We start from the raw sequence: 22,189 nt of genomic DNA on the forward strand, positions 1-22,189 counted from the left end.
AGACAATGTATTACAAAAAATTATAAATACTGTGGATTACGTTAATTTACCCCAGAGAGAATTTATTTTGTTGCAAGCAGGCAATTAGAGTAAGAGGAGAGATTCTTAATCCAGCCTGTGCTTGAACTATTTCAAAGTAGATGTTGAGTTTCAGTGAGGATTAATCTATTTCTGGTTCACTTGTGTTCCTGGCTTCTGGCTGTTTGGCAACTGCAACCAAGAGCCTGGATGTTGACTGGCCCATCTTCCTGGGCAGGTCCTGAACTTCATTTTTGTCTCTCTAGGTCAACGTTATTATGAGTTGTTGCTTACCTCCTCAGCCTCTTTGCTGGCACTTTCTGTTCAATTCCCCAGCCTTTTGTCTGCTGTGATTAATTGGAAATGCTTCAAGAGAAACAGTGGTGCAAAACACTGGAATCACTCTGAGGCTTTTTCCTCTTCTCCAGGTTTTTACCCTCAGTCTTGGCTGCTGTGATAGCCTTGAACTTCAATTTTAGTCTTCCCAGGTCTGAGGGGCTTCCAACGGCTCTGGTCAGCTCTGTTCACCCTTGGCCATGGCTTAAAATCAGCAGAGGCATCAGCTCAAAAGGCATTTCCGAATATTAGGAACACTGACTGCATTTCTCTTCTGTAGTGGAGTACAGATACCTGACACTCCTCTAATCCAGGGGTGAGGTCTACGTCCTTGCTCTATGACCGCTTTGACCTCCCTGCAGAACGGGACTGAGGTGACGTTCTGCTAGTCTCCTGGCTCAAGCCTTAGAGACTGGCAGCTTCCACTTCCTGTCTTTTGGAACACTTGCCCTGGAAAAAAAAGATGTCGTGCAAGAAGTCTGACAACCCTAAAACTATCACGCAGTGCGGAACCCCAAGGTTGCCACGGGAGAAGCTCCCAGACATGCATGGGGCAGCCTTCAGAGGACTCCAGCCACAGCCACCACCTGCCCGCAGTAGTGTTAGGGACTCCAAGCAGAATGACACAGCTGAGCTCATCGGCTCCAAGAACCTGAAATGGGGGTGTGTCTGCTCAAATTAAAAGCACTTTATGTAAGTTGTGGTTTAGCAATGACTTTGCATAATGTGTTGATTGATCTGTTCAATTAACTCCAATAAGTGAGAGTTGACTCCCCTCTGGATGCTGAGCATTGTGATTTCTTCCAGCAGGATTTCCTCTCTGAACCAAGGGTGCGTCCTTTGTACCTGACATCTATTAGGTTGGTGCGAAAGTAATTGCAGTTTTTTGCCAATAAAACACTCAAAAATCGTTTCCTAATGGTTCCTTTAGAAATCACCACAGCGATTCTGTAAAGATTTCCAGGGCATATGGTCCCTAAAGGATCATCCTGAAATGAAGCATGAAGGAATTGGGACACAGAAGTGACAATTTTTCTTCTTCGATAGATAATAAGAACTGTCTCCCGGTACCGGAATGCTTCAGCTTGGTCTTAAGATAAAAATGTCTTGTTTGAGTAAGTTGGTCCTAGCACTTAAAAAATCTGAACATCAAAAAGACACGTTTTCCAATGGGGAAAAAGTAGAAAATTATATCAAGAAGGTAAAATAGTCTACATGACTCTTAGCAAGGACTATCCTGGGTAGAGGTGTAGGACAGTCATTTGCAAATTAGATATTTTCTGTTCAGGAAAATGTGGGCACTTTGGTCTTTTCACTGGGTTTGTCTTTTTGATGAGTTACTTTAATTTCTCCTGTTTCTCAATTTCATGAAAATTCAAAATAATTCTGAGGGATCATTTTAATTTCTCCCAAAGATTGATTCTTGGAGTCTCTTGAGTTGAAACCAATGAGACGTTCAGGTCCCATCAGCACATGTGAGTCAACACATCCCTGAAGTGGGAGGACAACCACGTGAAGAAGTGAATTCTCCTACCACCACTATCTGTCCTACTCATCTTCCTCTTTGCTTCCCTCAACTTCATCCCACTGTTCCCGTTCACACCCTCTTGCCTCATCCCAGCCAAGTTGATTTCCCTTCCTGCCTCTCGTATAATTGCAAATTATCATTTTAAGGCTGGAATATTCATTCACTCCCAAGACTGGAGTAGGGGCTTAGTAATTAAGGAGAAATGTTCCAGAGAAAAACACATTCTATGTGGTCACGGACAGGAGTTTATAATGCAAGCAGTCAGACCTTAAGCATCCCTGGCTTTCCAGTCTCCACTTTTACAAAGGGACATCTCAGAGCTTCAGTAGTGGTCTAGTCATGTTTAATCAATTTTCATTTCCCAAACCCAAGTGTATCCCATTTTGACATCTCTATATATAAATACGCTGCTTTTTAAAACATTTTAAAGAATATAAGCAAGGTTTTCTAAAATACATGCCTAAATACCAAAAAATACAAGCATAAACCATACTTGTTTTTCTAGGGGAAAAAGCAAATCTCCCCGCTTAGTTTGAGTCATCAATCCAAAACTGAAAATAAAAGCCTTGAGATGCAGTTTGCTCTGACTTTACAAAAATCGAATTCCTTTCTATATAATAATTGAATTTGAATCTACTCGAGTTATGTGAACACAGCTATAGATGATGACTATTTATACCACATAATTACTAAATTACAATACCATTGACACTCCCACCAAAGAAAAGTTTTGGCTTCATCATTTACAAAAGCTAACTGGTCACCCCGTGACTGTTGCTGGTGAGGAAAGCAGGGGAGAGAAACTGCAGGGAAGGAACTGAGCTTTACTGAGGCCAGTTCCCTGCCAGGCAACGCGGTAGCCATTGCATACACATTCTCTCCTCTGAATCTTACAACAGTCCTATAAATTATGATATCAGTATACACGATTACACAGATAAGGGAGTTGAATCAGAAAATGTTCAGATTAAACAATAATAAATACCAGAGCCGAGGTTTTATCTTGGTGCTGCGTGACCCCTGAATATACCCAGGGGCTTCCCACCATTCCACACCACCTCAGCCTGCCTGTCTTGTCAAATGGATGGGGATATTTGCATAAGTTCTTAACAGCAAGAGAAAAATGCTCACGCATATAGCAATAGTCTTCCATTTGGTAAGAGCCTCCACTGAAATGTGGAATTCCCATATATTTGTGGATTTGAAAACTATGATCCTAGACTTAGTTTCTTTCTGAAGGTATTTTGTGGGAGAGCTGAGGAAGCGAAAGGCCCAAGTCTGAAAGAAGTGGTGGATCTCTCTCTCTCCTCTCTGTCTCCTGTGCTCACATTGATTTTTGCAAAGCTCCAATCTGGAAGGACGAGGAACACGTGACTCACAGACAGGAGGAAGGAGCTAGGGGAGTTCTTCCCAGTTCTGGGTGGAGAACACTCCACAGGGCCCCCAAGTCATAATTCAACCCTGAGCCCTTTAACAAATGTGTCTTTGACTGGGGCCAGGCCTGCCCCCACGGAGGATGTGCACCAGGCACTTAGTTCCAAGTTCACGGGAAACTTGGCCACGCAAAGATGAAACATGTTAAGGGGATGTGGGTGGGGCAAAAATGTCAGCAAAGGCGACATCAAGATTCCTCTAAGTACACAATGCACACTTCAAGGGCCTCAGGGTGGGTGAGGGTTGGTTCCTGTAGTTGTTAACATTATTTTGCTTTGGTTTGTTTGCTTGCAGGGGTCTAGGTATGGACAGGGTATTTTATACATATGTCTTCTATAGGAATCAGGACGTTTTCTACAATACTTCCCAGAGTTGAATAAAGATCAGTAATTGGCATCATTCAATCAGGAAACTTTCTGCAAATCCATCAGCATCTTCCAGTGAGAGGACAAGCTGAGGCTACATGTTTAGCACAAATGCTTTTAATTGTTACCAACGATGATTTATTCATATTTATGCAATGCCACACACACTGGGGACTTTTCCATGTGAGGACACAAAATAAATACTTTTCTTAGAAATTAGATTCTTTTGAAAGAAAAAGCTCACCAAAAATAACAGCAGCTAGGCATTTTTTATTGGTTCCAGCAGATTCCACCAGGATGAACATCCAGTCATCAGCAGTTATTGGTGTGTGTTGATCAGAACACAGAAATAAAGGTGAAACTGAGGTCAATATTTACTTCAAAAAGGGAACGACATCTCAATATTCATGCAAATATTAGCTCGGAAAATATAGCTTTCATTCTGAATGCTTCTCTCCAAATATCTAGCACAGATGTAGCCAGGTAGATGTTCCTATCCATAGGGAAAACTGACTTCTAGAAAGTTCATCAGCATCTAATTTGCGTATACAGCTAATCCAAGCACATGAAAAGCTACATTTTCTTTATGCTGAATAGTTTCCCAATTATTTGTAAATTAGTTGACTTGCTTTTCACATTTAGAATTTTAAAATCTCCTAGCTCATTATAGAGACTCTTTTAAACCAGTCAGAACAGATTTCCTTCTCGCAGGCTACTATAATAAATATTAAATTGAAAAATTGTTCATTTACCACAAGGTGCCACAATGTTGATTAAATTGTACGCACGCCAGCATTAACACTGCTCTAGGTTGGAGATAATTGGAACTGTAGTGACATGCAAAGGGCTGTACAAAAGCACAAGAATGTTTACTGCAGCATGATTTGTAATAGTGAAAAATTCAAGGCAACCAAAGTGTTAGCAGTAGTAAAATGAATGACAGCACATTAACACTGTTTTATTTTTAAGTGATGTGTGCACCCATGTTCACAGCACTGCTTCCCTACAGCACTGCTTCCCTACAGCAGTGCATGCTGCACACTGCAAAACTCCAAGGGAGACGCCTGCAACACTGTCTATGTCAGGGGCCAGCAAACTTTCCATAAAGGGCCAGAGAGTCAATATTTTAGGCTTTGTGAGCCACAGGGTCTTTGCCACAACTACTCAATTCTGCCACCAATGTATGAGTATGGCTATATTTTAATAAAACTTTGTGTTTGCCCACCATAATTGGAATTTTGTGCAATTTTCACATTGTAAAACCTTATTTTGAATTCTTAACCATTTAAAAAATGTAAAGACTTTTAAACTCACAAAACATACAAGAACAGGTGGCAGGCTGGGCTTGACCCTCGAGCTGCAGCTTGCAGCCCCTGGTTTATGTGGAAGTCATCAACTGATGTCATGCCACCCACAACCTGCACAACCTCACACAAAAGCCTTGTGCAAATGTGTAAAGCCTGAAAAATGCTGTGCCAAATTCCTAATACCTGTTACTTCTAGGGTCTGGGGAGGGGGAGAGAGGATGCAGAAGAGTTTACAAGTTTTATTTTATTTGCTGAGTGTATATATTTTTATCCATAGAAATACACAACCAAGGCTAGGCGCAGTGGCTCACACCTGTAATACCAGCACTTTGGGAGGCCGAGGCGGGCAGATCACTTGAGCCCAGGAGTTTGAGACCAGCCTGGGCAACATGGCGAAACCCTGTCTCTGCAAAAAATACAAAAATTAGCTGGGCTTGGTGATGCATGCCTGTAGTCACAGCTGCTCATAAGGTTGAAGTGGGAGGATTGCTTGAGCCCGGCAGGTTGAGGCTGAAGTGAGCTGAGATCGCACCACTGCACTCCAGCCTGGGTAACAGAGCAAGACCCTGTCTAAAAATAAAAAAATAAAAAATAAAAAAAAACAATGTACAACCAATTCTTTGTAAAGACTCTAAAAATGGGTGGGTCTCAAGCCTATTGTGTATTTAGGGGGCAGAGATTCCCATGGCAGTCAGATCAGGGGTGATCTCTGGAGATGGGGAAGGAGTGGTATCTTGGAAGCAGGACATCGAGGGGTGAGGACAAGGTTTCATTCATGACCCTGCATCAGGCTTATACAAGGGAATGCTTTATCATAAGTCATAAACTGTCATTTGTGTTTTATGCGCTTTTCACTGTGCCTCCAAAAGAAGATTCTGTGGTAGGCTAATCATTCCTCATTCTTTGGGAGACTTTCCAAACTTTTCTGAAGCTGAATCAGGATGCTGAGATTGACCACTAAAAATTATAATAAATTATGCAGCAATAAAATATCAAATCTAAAATATTACTCTTTAATTCACGTCACTGCCACGAAACTCCAGTGTAACATGACGGAAGACTGATGGTTGCAAACATCCTCCACTCTAAACATCCCTCAGGTCTGAAGAAAGATCTGAGACCCAGTCACAGCTTAAGAAAGGCCTGTGGAAAAGCCGCACCATCAGAGCATGTCTTTGCCATTGGCACCACCTCCCTTCAACCCTCCCAGAGTCCACAGTCACAGAGGGAAAGGGGAGAGACTGATGTGCAGAATCCACTCTGGTCTCAATTTAACTTCAGAAATCGATGATGTTTCTAGATGAGGAGAATGGTTTCCTTGGACAATGAAGAGAATGTCGTGGTGTCCTAAATCCCCAAAGAGAAGCGCAGAGGATATTGACCAGGAACAAGAGGCCGTTTGAAAACACAGGAAGGACAGTGTCACGGGGCAATGAACGAGGGCTCTCACCCAAGGTCAGCCTGCACCCAGCCGTGAGCCTCCAAGAACACTCAAGCCTTCAAGCCTTCCTGCTTGCCTGTAAGTTTACCTCCCTCTGCTTTAGTCTAAAGCTTCTTCCCATATAAACTAAAATCATGTGAACCCATCTGTTTCATTATATGAGTCTTAACTGGAACCGATGGTTTGAAAGCATGAATCCCATGACACTTGGCACATGGGAGGTCGTGGCTGAATGTTGGATTTGCATTTGTAGGGCCAACGTGCTCTCTGAGGAGTTATGGAAGACAGCTCCTGTGTAGTCGGCAATTATCAGTGGGTCCCCTCTGAATGCCAGTGCCTTTGATCATTGGACTCAGTTTCCGTAGGAGTTGCATCTTCCAGGGAGTGGAGGATGTGTTCTAGGGGAGAGGGGAGTCTTAGGTTTGACTCATAAGTTTACTGCAATACACTCATCACGCAACTCCACTCCATCCCCCCACAGGCAACAGGACTGAACCTACTGCAAGTCAAGAAACACACAGAAGTTTCCAGGTAACAGAGTGCTGGATCAAAGTTCTGGGCAGGCTGGAAAAGCAATGCAATAACGCAAAGAAAAGCCACCTTGGGGGGATGGGCCTCCGTTTCCTCTTTGGTAACTCGAGGCGGGGATACTACTAATGCCCATGGCAGTCCTCGTCACTTTCACCCCACGTTTCCCATGTTACGTCACTGGCTGTTCTAAGTGCACAATGCTTAACGTGGGGAATAAAGTGGGAGGTGGTTAAGGCTTAAACAGTGGTCCCTGGGGACACAAAACGTTCAGCTATCACTGAACTTTCACTATGTCCCAGGCACTGTCCTTAGCTGTTTCCAAATTTCACTCTTGAAATTCTCACCCCGGCCTCTGAGGCAGGCTTGACCATCACCTCATTGTACAGAAAAGGAAATGTGACACAGGGCCAATGTCACAGGCCAAGGAAGTCAGAGGAGCAGGATTCAGCCCCAGAACTCGGCACACAGTCAATGCTCACGAGTGGGATGTCAAGCTCTGATCGCCAAGTGGGGCAAGAAAATCATTCCCCACAATTCCCCACAGTTCTTCGGGAAGAGCACTGAAATGGATTGAGTTTTCTAAAAATAGTCTCATGAAAGAGTGAGAAAAAAACTGACCTTGTGGAACAAAAGCAACATTGCAATGAGAACGGCCCACCAGGAGAATGAGGAAACTCTTTTCTCCCCACTGTCTGACAGTAACGTGGACTGTGTGCCAGCTGCGGGCCAGGAACTCTCTGGATCGTTGATACTCATCAGCTCCTCCTAAGTGGATGAGGTAGGTGTTGTGCTAGCACCCATTTTAAAGATATGGAAATGAGACACAGTTAGATAAAATCCCAGCTCATCTTCACACAGCTAGCAAGCACCAGAGCTGGGATCTGAGCCGAGCCATCTGGCTGGAGACTCCCTCCCTCCTGACTGTGCTGCCTTACTGAAACAGCCTCGGTCTACCAGATGACTTTTCAGAAGGCACCATCCAGCAACCTTGGACCTACTTTGTTTGCCCACATGGTATTTGCAATGACTGGATGTTTATGCCCCTCCCCCAAATTAATGCTGAGATCTTAACCGAGGTGATGCTATTAGACGGAGAGCCCTATGCAAGACAATCAGGGAACAGAGTCCGGGGAACGGGATGGGTGCCCTTATAACAGAGTCCGGGGGAACGGGATGGCTGCCCTTGTAACAGAGTCCGGGGGAACGGGATGGGTGCCCTTATAACAGAGTCCGGGGGAACGGGATGGCTGCCCTTGTAACAGAGTCCGGGGGAACGGGATGGGTGCCCTTATAACAGAGTCCGGGGGAACGGGATGGGTGCCCTTGTAACGGAGTCCGGGGGAACGGGATGGGTGCCCTTGTAACAGAGTCCGGGGGAACGGGATGGGTGCCCTTATAACAGAGTCCGGGGGAACGGGATGGGTGCCCTTGTAACGGAGTCCAGGGGAACGGGATGGGTGCCCTTGTAACGGAGTCCGGGGGAACGGGATGGGTGCCCTTATAACAGAGTCCGGGGGAACGGGATGGGTGCCCTTATAACAGAGTCCGGGGGAACGGGATGGCTGCCCTTGTAACAGAGTCCGGGGGAACGGGATGGGTGCCCTTGTAACAGAGTCCGGGGGAACGGGATGGGTGCCCTTGTAACGGAGTCCGGGGGAACGGGATGGGTGCCCTTGTAACGGAGTCCGGGGGAACGGGATGGGTGCCCTTGTAACGGAGTCCGGGGGAACGGGATGGGTGCCCTTGTAACAGAGTCCAGGGGAACGGGATGGGTGCCCTTGTTACGGAGTCCGGGGGAACGGGATGGCTGCCCTTGTAACGGAGTCCGGGGGAACGGGATGGGTGCCCTTGTAACGGAGTCCGGGGGAACGGGATGGGTGCCCTTGTAACAGAGTCCGGGGGAACGGGATGGGTGCCCTTGTAACGGAGTCCGGGGGAACGGGATGGGTGCCCTTATAACAGAGTCCGGGGGAACGGGATGGGTGCCCTTGTAACGGAGTCCAGGGGAACGGGATGGGTGCCCTTGTAACGGAGTCCGGGGGAACGGGATGGGTGCCCTTGTAACAGAGTCCGGGGGAACGGGATGGGTGCCCTTGTAACGGAGTCCGGGGGAACGGGATGGGTGCCCTTGTAACAGAGTCCGGGGGAACGGGATGGGTGCCCTTATAACAGAGTCCGGGGGAACGGGATGGGTGCCCTTGTAACGGAGTCCAGGGGAACGGGATGGGTGCCCTTGTAACGGAGTCCGGGGGAACGGGATGGGTGCCCTTGTAACGGAGTCCGGGGGAACGGGATGGGTGCCCTTGTAACAGAGTCCGGGGGAACGGGATGGGTGCCCTTGTAACGGAGTCCGGGGGAACGGGATGGGTGCCCTTGTAACAGAGTCCGGGGGAACGGGATGGGTGCCCTTATAACAGAGTCCGGGGGAACGGGATGGGTGCCCTTGTAACGGAGTCCAGGGGAACGGGATGGGTGCCCTTGTAACGGAGTCCGGGGGAACGGGATGGGTGCCCTTGTAACGGAGTCCGGGGGAACGGGATGGGTGCCCTTGTAACAGAGTCCGGGGAAACGGGATGGGTGCCCTTGTAACGGAGTCCGGGGGAACGGGATGGGTGCCCTTATAACAGAGTCCGGGGGAACGGGATGGGTGCCCTTGTAACGGAGTCCGGGGGAACGGGATGGGTGCCCTTATAACAGAGTCCGGGGGAACGGGATGGGTGCCCTTGTAACGGAGTCCAGGGGAACGGGATGGGTGCCCTTGTAACGGAGTCCAGGGGAACGGGATGGGTGCCCTTATAACAGAGTCCGGGGGAGCGGGATGGGTGTAACAGAGTCCGGGGAAACGGGATGGGTGCCCTTGTAACAGAGTCCAGGGGAACGGGATGGGTGCCCTTGTAACGGAGTCCGGGGGAACGGGATGGCTGCCCTTGTAACAGAGTCCGGGGGAACGGGATGGGTGCCCTTATAACAGAGTCCGGGGGAACGGGATGGGTGCCCTTGTAACGGAGTCCGGGGGAACGGGATGGGTGCCCTTATAACAGAGTCCGGGGGAACGGGATGGGTGCCCTTGTAACGGAGTCCAGGGGAACGGGATGGGTGCCCTTGTAACGGAGTCCGGGGGAACGGGATGGGTGCCCTTGTAACAGAGTCCGGGGGAACGGGATGGGTGCCCTTGTAACGGAGTCCGGGGGAACGGGATGGGTGCCCTTGTAACAGAGTCCGGGGGAACGGGATGGGTGCCCTTATAACAGAGTCCGGGGGAACGGGATGGGTGCCCTTGTAACGGAGTCCAGGGGAACGGGATGGGTGCCCTTGTAACGGAGTCCGGGGGAACGGGATGGGTGCCCTTGTAACGGAGTCCGGGGGAACGGGATGGGTGCCCTTGTAACAGAGTCCGGGGAAACGGGATGGGTGCCCTTGTAACGGAGTCCGGGGGAACGGGATGGGTGCCCTTATAACAGAGTCCGGGGGAACGGGATGGGTGCCCTTGTAACGGAGTCCGGGGGAACGGGATGGGTGCCCTTATAACAGAGTCCGGGGGAACGGGATGGGTGCCCTTGTAACGGAGTCCAGGGGAACGGGATGGGTGCCCTTGTAACGGAGTCCAGGGGAACGGGATGGGTGCCCTTATAACAGAGTCCGGGGGAGCGGGATGGGTGTAACAGAGTCCGGGGAAACGGGATGGGTGCCCTTGTAACAGAGTCCAGGGGAACGGGATGGGTGCCCTTGTAACGGAGTCCGGGGGAACGGGATGGCTGCCCTTGTAACAGAGTCCGGGGGAACGGGATGGGTGCCCTTATAACAGAGTCCGGGGGAACGGGATGGGTGCCCTTGTAACGGAGTCCGGGGGAACGGGATGGGTGCCCTTATAACAGAGTCCGGGGGAACGGGATGGGTGCCCTTGTAACGGAGTCCAGGGGAACGGGATGGGTGCCCTTGTAACGGAGTCCAGGGGAACGGGATGGGTGCCCTTGTAACAGAGTCCGGGGGAACGGGATGGGTGCCCTTGTAACAGAGTCCGGGGGAACGGGATGGGTGCCCTTGTAACAGAGTCCGGGGGAACGGGATGGGTGCCCTTGTAACAGAGTCCGGGGGAACGGGATGGGTGCCCTTGTAACAGAGTCCGGGGGAACGGGATGGGTGCCCTTGTAACAGAGTCCGGGGGAACGGGATGGGTGCCCTTGTAACGGAGTCCGGGGGAACGGGATGGGTGCCCTTATAACAGAGTCCGGGGGAGCGGGATGGGTGTAACAGAGTCCGGGGAAACGGGATGGGTGCCCTTGTAACAGAGTCCAGGGGAACGGGATGGGTGCCCTTGTAACGGAGTCCGGGGGAACGGGATGGCTGCCCTTGTAACAGAGTCCGGGGGAACGGGATGGGTGCCCTTATAACAGAGTCCGGGGGAACGGGATGGGTGCCCTTGTAACGGAGTCCGGGGGAACGGGATGGGTGCCCTTATAACAGAGTCCGGGGGAACGGGATGGGTGCCCTTGTAACGGAGTCCAGGGGAACGGGATGGGTGCCCTTGTAACGGAGTCCAGGGGAACGGGATGGGTGCCCTTGTAACGGAGTCCAGGGGAACGGGATGGGTGCCCTTGTAACAGAGTCCGGGGGAACGGGATGGGTGCCCTTGTAACAGAGTCCGGGGAAACGGGATGGGTGCCCTTGTAACAGAGTCCTGGGAAACGGGATGGGTGCCCTTGTAACAGAGTCCGGGGAAACGGGATGGGTGCCCTTGTAACAGAGTCCGGGGAAACGGGATGGGTGCCCTTGTAACAGAGTCCGGGGAAACGGGATGGGTGCCCTTGTAACGGAGTCCGGGGAAACGGGATGGGTGCCCTTGTAACGGAGTCCGGGGAAACGGGATGGGTGCCCTTGTAACGGAGTCCGGGGGAGCGGGATGGGTGCCCTTGTAACAGAGTCCGGGGGAACGGGATGGGTGCCCTTATAACAGAGTCCGGGGGATGGGATGGCTGCCCTTGTAACGGAGTCCGGGGGAACGGGATGGGTGCCCTTGGAGTCCGGGGGAACGGGATGGGTGCCCTTGGAGTCCGGGGGAACGGGATGGGTGCCCTAGTAACGGAGTCCGGGGGAACGGGATGGGTGCCCTTGTAACGGAGTCCGGGGGAACGGGATGGGTGCCCTTACAAAAGAGTCCTGCGGGAGGGTGTTCATCCGTTCCACCACGTGAGGACACGGTGAGAAGGTGCCATCTCCGAACCAGAAACCAGGTTCCCAGCAGACACTGAATCTGCAGCTGCCTTGATCCTGGAATCCAGGATAGAGACTGTGGTCGAGAACCATAGACATAGACCCCTGCTGTTTATAAGCCACCCATCTATGGAATTTTATTAGGTTGGTGTAAAAGTAATTGCAGCTTTGCCATTAAACGTAATAGCAAAAACCGCAATTACTTTTGCACCAACATACTCGGCTCAAAATGATTAAGACAGTGTTCTCTTTTCTTTTCACTGAATTAATTGCCAATATTTTAAAATTACAACATGTGATGGTTAATATTGGATGTCAACGTGATTGAAGGATGCCTATAATACTTTGCATAGCTGGTAAAGTATCATTTCTGGGTGTGTCTGTGAGGGTGTTGCCAGAGAAGATGAACAACTGAGTCAATGGACTGGGAGATGCAGACCCACCCTCAGTGTGGGCGGGCACCAACCAATCAGCTGCCAACGCGGCTAGAAAAAAGCAGGCAAAGAGGGTGGGATAAGCTGGGTTCCTGAATCTTCTGGCCTTCATCTTTCTCCCATGCTGGATGCTTCCTGCCCCAGACTCCAGGTTCTTCAGCCTTTGGATTCTTGGACTTACACCAGTGGTTTGCTGGGGGCTCTGGGGCCTTTGGCCACAGGCTGATTGGTGGTTGCACTGTCGGCCTCCCTGCTTTTAAGGTTTTGTGATCAGACCGAGCCACTACTGGCTTCCTTGCTCCTCAGCTTGCAGACAGTCTATCATGGGACTTTGCCTTGGATCTTGCGAGTCAATTCTCCCTAATAAACTCCCTTTCATGTATACATCTCCCCTGTTAGTTCTGTCCCTCTGGAGAACCCTGACTCATACAGAACATTTCACATAAAAATGTGCATTTATACTTTCTCATGGAAATTCTGGGGTCCTGGTCACAGGGGACTCACACTGCCCTTGGCATTGAGAAGCAGCTGCCCCTAGACAGGACACGCACACCCTAGACTAACACGGCCCCACTCTGCCTCTGTGGACATTTGAGAATGCAACTGGCTAAGAAAAACTATGCAAAACTTGGAAATAAGGCAAAACGATTACTGCATGCCCTTTCAAAATCATGCTAGAACATTCGACAAGTCCACTGAAATGTCATGGGAGACTCTAGGGAAAGAGAACTTTATTTGACATACCATTTACTATTGATCAGGGCCCAAACTCTGTCAATTTAGATGTTAACTTGGAGTAGATTGATACATTACAAATGACTTTTGTCCAGTAGAGATGGGAATAATTTCTGTCTTACAGAAAAGAAATCCTCAAAGGGGACTGTTCTATTGCCCCAGGGCATTAAACTCGTCTGCATCAAACTTCTCAATCTCTTAAAGCGTTCTTTTTCCCTGTGTATATGTATGCATAAATATATATACATATGTGCGTATATATATAAAACTTCTCATAACCTAATTTTATCTAGCTATGTCATCTTGTTGGCTTCTGTATTAGTCCATTCTCACGCTGCTATAAAAACATATCCGAGACTGGGTAATATATATAAAGGAAAGAGGTTTAATTGACTCACAGTTCTGCAGGGCTGGGGAGGCCTCAGGAAACTTACAATCATGAAAGAAGGGGAAGCAAACGTGTCCTTTTTCACAGGGCAGCAGGAGAAAGAAGAATGAGAGCTGAGCAAAGAGGGAAGCCCCTTATAAAATCATCTGATCTCATGAGAACTTACTCAGTATCACAAGAACAGGATTGGGGAAACTGCCTCCATGATTCAATTATAGACACCTAGTCCCGCCCATGACACATAGGGATTATGGGAACTACAATTCAAGATGAGATTTGGGTGGGGACACAGCCAAACCATATCAGTTTGCTTATCAACAAATGAAGCAATTATTGGAATCTCCTTCACTATGTTATGTTTTTAACCTTTTGAAACGCTTTCTGAAAATCTTTTTTATAGAATTATACTTTGAGAAATCTGTGACCATTCCAGTGGAATGAAATGAAAAATGCTCTGCCTTGCAGAGTTGAAACCACTTTTGCAAACATTTTAACAGTTAGAAATAGATAACTTTGAGAAAATTATAAGAAACATAGAGGATGTGATCTAACCAACCCCCACCTTACCTTTAACCTCCAAAACTGCCCTTGGTTACTCCTGGGCTTGGACCAAGCTAACTTTGGGAGAAATTTAGTTTATAGTTGGAATGACAATAGCCCTTCCCCAAAATTAAACCTCCTCGGTAAAACCAATGAAAGCCCACCAGGTTAGGAAAATGAGAGGAGCCTGAATTCTGCTAAGATGTAGGCTTAGTTAAATGATTACCAGGCTGGGCCCAGTGGCTCACGCCTGTAATCCCAACAATTTGGGAGGCCAAGGTGGGTGAATCACCTGAGGACAGTAGTTCGAGACCAGCCTGGCCAACATGGCGAAACCCCATCTCTACTAAAAATACAAAAATTAGCCGGTCATGGTGGTGCACTCCTGTAATCCCAGCTACTAGGGAGGCTGAGGCAGGAGAATCACTTGAAATCAAAGGTTGCAATGAGCCAAGATTGCACCACTGCACTCCAGCCTGGGCAACAGAGAGAGACTCTGTCTCAAAGAAAAAAAAAAAAAAAAGGATTACCAGCCATTATTCTGGAGGTCACAAGATTTGCAACTTCCCCAATTTCTGGCAGATAACATCACTACTGTAGAACCTAAGATTGGCCTTTTGAGATGTCCTTTCAGGCTTTTGCATTTCTGATGACCAGATGGCCCCACCCAGACCCAAGACTCTTGACTTAACTGCTCCTGTAGCCACACCCAACACACAAGGGTCATATACCTACAATTGCATCCACAACCAATCAGCAGCATCCCCTCCCTAGTCCTCTGCCCACCAAACTATCCTTGAAAAACCCTAGCCTCCAAATTCTCTGGGAAGCTCATCTGAGTCATGATAAAGCTGCTGTCTCCTGTTTAGCTGGCTTTACATGTGTGATACTCTTTCTCCTTTGCAATTCCCCGGTGGTGATAAATCAGGTCTGTCTGGGAAGTGGGAAAAATAAACCTGTTGGCCAGTTACAGAATGGTTTTGAAGGCTGGTTTAGGAAGCCACACAATACAGATGCTCTCAACTCTAAATTTCAAGCCTCAAATCAGGTGGAAACCTCAAACTTCGGGAAATTAATCCTTGCTGGGGCTGGCTGAGGATTTCCATGCTGAAAGCAGACCCAGCCTTCAGGAGCCAAGAGCGAAGGCGTTTTCCAGGGGGCTGTGTGTTTGCTGACACTCCACTGCACAGGTGTCTCTCTGCACAGAGCAAACCTGCCCTTTCAATTCACTCTGAGCCACTAGTTCAATCTTTTCCATCTGTGCTCTCTGAACTTTCCATTTCCAATAGGTTCAGACTAATTCACGGCAGCCATGGGGGTTGATCAGCTATGCCTCTCCCATCACATCCAAGGGCTGCATGTTGACATCCTTAAAAGAATTTAGAAATAAATCTAATAGAGTGCCTTTCATGCTGGAGGACTGTTTATTTGAATTCCATTAAGAGCGGACACAAGTATAAGTAGAGAATGAGTCTGGGCTTCAAAAGCACTTAGCCAAGCCATTTACCCCCATGTTGGATAAAACCATTCCATTGTAATAAAATAAAAACACGACTGAAAGCTGACACAGCCTAGGCTAAAAGCTTGATGTTTAAGAAGCATCAAGATGAGCTTAGTTAAAAAAAAAAAAAGCTATAGCAGCTCAGCCACAGAACAGAAACACATCACAACATGCTTTGCATGTTGATGGAACTGAACGGCCCTGGCTGGTGCAGTTCCGCCTTCCTCAGCGAGGGAGGGATTCCAGGGCAGATGTAAATGGGAACTTAAGGCCATTCATCAATTCATTCAGAGAACCGAGGCATTGAAAATTGTGGAGGAGCTTGGGCTTGGAATTGGGAACAGGCCGGTTATCAGACAAATGTGGGCTGTGTCACATTAAAGTCACTATAATTTTTAGCTTGGGCAAAAGTATAAATTACAGACCTTGGTGTCTGTCTTAGAGCATTGTGAAGCCTTTACAGAACAGGGAGGCATGGATTTGTGGACAGTGCTAAGGAATCAGCTAGCCAGCCACCCCCACCCCCAGCCCCGATGGAAACTAATAGGTTTTCCAGATGCAAAACCATGTTCTTCCCAAGGGAATCAAAGAGTACACCTGCTCCCTGCACAGTTATGGGTGCAGAGACCAGGGTGCAAAGTGTACAGCATCTCACATTAACACGGCGAGTCTGGTATTTTTAAGTTCACTGTTGGTCAGCTCTTTTGTAAAATGAAGAATTCTGTTTTTTCATACACCTTAATTTTTCTACCTTATAATGATGCTTTTTAAAATATCAACTTTGCTAAAGCAGGCCTTAAAATCTCCCATTCAAGCAAAATATTAGTAAGCCTTGCTAGTATTACCCTCCGTATAAAGCTTGTGTCCTAAGGGCTGATAGAAAATAAGAATTCAAAAACATTGGGATTGGGGTAAAATCAGCTGTCCTCCCCAGAAAAGAAGCAAGATTTCTGTGTAGTCTTATATCCCCACGATATTTTAATACATGAAATGCTAGCATCAGAACATCTAGGTATTGTTTGTTTCTGTTTTTGTTTTTTTGGGGGGGGCAGGGGAGGAAATTGTAACAGGAATCTTTTCTGCCATTTTCTGGTAACTGCCCACAAGAACTAATATAGCCTCATCAGTCGGCAGAGTTTATCCCTCTAACAGCAATGATAAGTTTAGGGATATGGTGGGTTTTAAAATAAGTCTGAAAAACTTTTTATCACTCATCCCTTTAAAGTGTGAGCCCAATTGCGCTACCACTAGCACCAGTGAGGGCTGGACCTGCTAGTTCACTTCTAAAGAACAGCATGTAGCTGAGATGACAGAATGTGAGTTCCAAAGGTGGGGCATAAAAAGCACTGCCACTCCTATCTTACTCTCTGGGGGAAGCCAGCGCCATCTTGTGAGGAGACTCAAGCAGCCCCGCAGAGTGGTCCAGGTGGAGAGAATTAAAACCAAAGCATCAGCCATTTGAGCAAACCACTTTAGAACTGGATTCTCCAGCCCCTGTCAGGCCTTGAGATGATTCCAGACGTCAGCCTTGGAATCTCTCAGCAGAGGCCCCAGACATCATGAAGCAAAGACAAACCAGCCCCACAGGGCTGCGTCTGAATTTCTCTCCTATAGAAACAGCAAAATCATATGTAACTATCCTGCTTTAAGTCACTATCAGAGTTTTGGGGTAGTCTGTTTTATAGCAATTGATTAATACACATGCCCACAGGCAGACCCATAAGACTCAAGGAGTGGCTGTTTATTTTGACCACTGAAAAAGATAAGGTGTTTTTCCTGCTGAACCTGAAGTTTGGAGGATGTAATTGGAGACCTGCTGGAAGCCACCACATAAGGAGACTGCCTGAGAAGGAAGCCACTCCCGAGGACAGCAGAGACAAGAGATGGGGACAGACTAGTGGCACTGATGTTGGGTCCCTGGATCAAGCTACGCCTGAAGGTTATTCTGACATTCTTACTTGTTTGGGCCAATAAATCCCCTTGCCACCTGCATTGTTACCTGAAGTAAGTTTGGGTTGGATGTCTGTCATTAGGTACTCAATGCCCCCTGACACTGTACATTCAGCATGCTCTGCACTGTCTCTCACATAGTACTCTAGATAGTCCGTGTCCTCTGAGTGCAATGGCTAGGTCTTAAAGTGGCCACAACCAATTAGACAAGGTTCAGTCGTGCAAGATGGGTCCACAGAAGTGAGCTCCATCCAAACTCTATGTGAGCTCATCATGAAGCCTGTAATCACAGAACTTATGCTCATCATGGAGCCTCCAATGTCAGAACTTATTTTCCAGTGGAAAAAGTTGGAAATCCAGATAATAAGCAGACACACAAATAAATGCCCAGGATGAGCTGAGGTGGAGGTAAGTGCCGTAAAAGTGATGCACTGGAAACCCCTGTGAGCAGGCTGGGTGGAGGCGACCTCTCTCATTGGTGACAGTCTGCTGGCACTGGAGTGCTGAGGGGTAGCTCTGCAATGGTGCAGAAGCCTGCAGGACAGAGTTCCAGGCAGAGGGAACTGCAGAGAAGGAAATGAACTTGGAGGCAGGGGTTCCATGAACAGAATAATGTCCGGTGTGGCTGGAGCATAGAGAGCAGAAGGGAGAATACCAGGAGAATATGAGTAAACACAATCCTACTACTATGGTCACAACCAATTACACAAAGGCTTGGTTGTGCAAGATGGGTCCACAGCAGTGAGTTCCCTCCAAACTCCGTGTGAGCTCATCACGGAGCCTGCAATCATACAACTTCTGCTCAACAGTTCTACGAACACTCCAAGAGACAGGAGTGATTACGTCTTGCAATGAGCAGGCATGGAGGGAATCTGGGTTTCATTGTGAGTGCAATGGTCTGACTTCTGTATTTTAAGCATCCTGGCTGTTGTGTGAAGAATGAACTGTGGGGAGCAAGGGTGTTCAGTCTGACACACGGAATATACTGAACGCATCGCAACTGATGACTGCTTGGGCATCCTCTATGCCCGGCACTGGTCTACATGCCTGATGGATATTATGTCACTTAATTCTTGCAGTCCCATGATGGAGGTATTTTATAACTTGCATTCAGCAGGCAAGGGAACAGGGGTACAGTGAAGGCAGTGGTCACGGGACTAATGAGTCAAGAAGCCTGGATTTGAACCAGAAGTCAGGCTCCAGAGCTACATCGTGGTGTGACTCTCTTGCAGTGCTATAGGTCTGGGGTTGTCTGGCTGTCTCAGATCGTGTGCCTAACGACTAAGACATCGTTAAGTTTGGTGTTTGTTTTGGTTTGGTTTTCCTCTCACACTGCTGTGGTTTTACTCCACACCCCCTGGGTTTAAAACTGTATGCTTATTCTCAAAAGATGGCACACAAATGGCCAAGAAGTATATGAAAAAGGGTTCGACATGACTATTCACCAGGGAAATGCAAATCAAAACCACAATGAGATATTACCTCACACCTGTTAGGATGGCTATTATCAAAAAGATGAGAAATGAGTGTTAGCATATACACCATGGAATACTATGCAGCCATAAAAAATGATGAGTTCATGTCCTTTGTAGGGTCATGGATGAAGCAGGAAACCATCACTCTCAGCAAACTATCGCAAGGACAAAAAACCAAACACTGCATGTTCTCACTCATAGGTGGGAATTGAACAATGAGAACACATGGACACAAGGTGGGGAACATCACACACCGGGGCCTGTTGTGCGGTGGGGGGAGGGGGGAGGGATAGCATTAGGAGATATACCTAATGTAAATGACGAGTTAATGAGTGCAGCACACTAACATGGCACATGTATACATATGTAACAAACCCGCATGTTGTGCACATGTACCCTAGAACTTAAAGTATAATAAAAATATATTAAAAAAAAAAAGAAAAATGAGTGTTGGACAGGATGTAGAAAAGAGAGACTCCTGGCACACTGTGGGTGGGAATGTAAGTTGGTAAAGCCATTACGGCAAACAGTACGTAGGCTCTTCGAGATATTAAAAATAGAACTCCCATATGATCTAGCAATCCCACTCTGGGTATATATCCAAAGAAAATGAGTCAGCACCTTGCACAGACATCTGAACTCCCATGTTCAGAACTTCTGCTCATCATGCAGGGGGATTCACAATAGCCAAGATGAGTCAGCCTATGTGTCCATTAATGAACGAATGGATACAGAAAATGTGGGGTGTATATATACATGGAATATTACTTAGTCTTAAAAAAGAAATCCAGCCAGGCACAGTGGCTCATGCCTGTAATCCCGGCACCTTGCGAAGCTGAGGCAGGCAGATGGCCTGAGCTCAGGAGTTGGAGACCAGACTGGGCAACACGGAAAAACCCCAAAACCCTGTCTCTACAAAAAAAAAATACAGAAATTAGCTGGGCACGGTGGTATGTGCCTGTAGTCCTAGCTACATGGGAGGCTGAGGCAGGAGGATGGCTTGAGCCTGGGAGACAGAAGTTGCAGTGAGCTAAGATCATGCCACTGCACTCCAGCCTGGGTGACAGAGCCAGACTCTGTCTCAAAAAAAGAAAAAGAAAGAAAGAAATCCTGCCATTTGCAACAATATATACATGACACTGAAAGACACGAAGTTAAGTGAAATAAGCCAGGCACAGAAACCACATGATCTCACTCACATGCAGAATCTAAAAAAGCTAAACTCAGAGGAGCAGAGTAAAATGGTAGTTGCCAGGGCTCAGCAACACTGGTGAGAGAATAGGGAGATGCTGATGAAAAAGGGAAAACCTTCTATTATGCCAGATGAGCAAGTTCTAGAGTTCGAATGAACCGCAGAAGGACTAAAATTAATAATTCTGTATAGTGTCCTTGAAATGTACTGAGAGGATAAATCTTCAGTGTTTTCCTCATAAAAAGAGAAAGTAAAACAAAGAAAACCGTCACTGTAGAAAGGGATAATGTGAACTAGCTTGACCGTGGTGACAATTTCACAATGTATACATACAGCAAATCATCAAATTGTACATCTTCAATAGATACAATTTTTGTCAATTTTACCTCAATAAAGCTTAAAAGCTAAAATAAATTTTAAAAGGTATATATTTAAGCCAAAACTAACCTAGTGAAAAACAACAGTTGACAGGGGCCAGAGATGGGTTGGGGTTGCTGGAAAAGGAGCAGAAGAAACTTCTAGGGCAATGGAAATGTCTGTGTCTCTACTAAGACAGCGTTTCTATGGTACACACGAGGCAGTGTTTCTATGGTACACATGAGACAGCATTTGTACGGTACACACATGAGGCGGCGTTTCTATGGTACATACATGAGGTGGCGTTTCTATGGTACACACATGAGACAGCGTTTCTATGGTACACACATGAGGCAGCATTTCTATGGTACACTTGAGACAGCATTTGTATGGTACACACATGTGACAGCATTTCTATGGTACATACATGAGGCAGTGTTTCCATGGTACACACACGAGACAGCATTTGTATGGTACACACATGAGGCAGCGTTTCTATGGTACATGAGGCAGCGTTTCTAGGGAACACACATGAGACAGCATTTCTATGGTACACACATGAGACAGCGTTTATATGGTACATACATCTGTCCAAAAAGCCAATAACTATATACTTGAAACGGGTACATTTTATGATATGCTAATTATACCACAACAAAATTGATTTAAATTTTTTCTAAATCAATACTAACTTGTAGTAAATAACGTATTAGGATTTGCTCAAGTATATCTTCCATGCACGATGACAAGCCATATTACAGCCTCCAGCTGAACCCCCTAGAAGACATAATCGTGAGTCGAGGCTTCCTGTGTCAGCCGCTGTGGTCAAGTCAACTCCATCTGCACAATTTCATGCAGCAGCAGCACCTGAGTTGATTCAACCCATTCTCTATGCCCTGTACCCCTGTAAGCAGGTGCCATCTGCACATTCAGGTGCTTCAAGTCAAACAGCAGGTGTTTCAAAAGTGTGGGACTGCAGAACTGGCTTTCTAGGGCCGGGACAAGCTGTTCTTCTAGAAGTTCACTGTCCAGCTGCTTGCGATGCAAGGAACGCGGCCTCTCTTCCCACCCTGCCCCCAGGGTGTTTTGGCTACCATGCAGCAGAAGGAGCCAGGTTCGGAGGTGCCTCATCTGGCAATCACCAGGCAGGGAACAGGGCAAGAAGACGGACATCCAGGAAAGAGAAAACCAGCTTCGCATAACAGACTCAACCCCAGCCGCAGACCTCCAAGAATCTGAACTCTGCTTAGCATCTGTGGGTTGCAAATTGGCTGGGTTTTCATCATATCTGGCCCTTAGAACCGGTTCCTCAGCCACTGTGTTTTTATTTTGCTTTGTGTTTTTTTTTTTTTAATATGAATGTCTTCAGGCAGCACAGGAATCTGGGGTTCCCACTGCACCCCATTATACATTGTCTTATGCCCAGCTGATTCCCATATTAAGCTG

General features: G+C 47.4%; 1 protein-coding gene and 1 long non-coding RNA gene across 9 annotated transcripts in view, besides 1 other annotated feature; both read right to left on the reverse strand.

Annotated features, from left to right (window-relative positions):
- Positions 1–22,189, reverse strand: part of TMEM132D (transmembrane protein 132D) — an 832,300-nt gene that overhangs the window by 775,257 nt on the left and 34,854 nt on the right. The window lies entirely within an intron of this gene.
- On the reverse strand, positions 3,932–13,670 carry LOC124903085 (uncharacterized). 8 transcript variants are annotated; one of them, XR_007063610.1, is made up of 4 exons: positions 7,579–8,304; positions 6,600–6,827; positions 6,265–6,335; positions 3,932–6,131 (listed from the first exon to the last, which is right to left on the reverse strand). It is a non-coding gene; the product is annotated as an uncharacterized LOC124903085 (long non-coding RNA). The 8 variants fall into 8 exon arrangements; XR_007063606.1 differs by adding an exon at positions 6,930–6,993 and having other exon boundaries at positions 3,932–6,335; XR_007063609.1 differs by adding an exon at positions 12,109–13,670 and having other exon boundaries at positions 3,932–6,827; positions 7,579–7,750.
- Positions 6,358–7,557: an enhancer, noted in NCBI's record as "MED14-independent group 3 enhancer chr12:130337885-130339084 (GRCh37/hg19 assembly coordinates)". NCBI's record gives its function as "activates an origin of replication core promoter dependent on BRD2, BRD4, P300/CBP and CDK7 cofactors, and independent of MED14, by STARR-seq in HCT116 cells {active_cell/tissue: HCT116}" and the evidence as "EXISTENCE:reporter gene assay evidence [ECO:0000049][PMID:35650434]".

This window comes from Homo sapiens, chromosome 12 (genome assembly GCF_000001405.40).
Source record: "Homo sapiens chromosome 12, GRCh38.p14 Primary Assembly".
Classification (NCBI taxonomy): domain Eukaryota; kingdom Metazoa; phylum Chordata; class Mammalia; order Primates; family Hominidae; genus Homo; species Homo sapiens.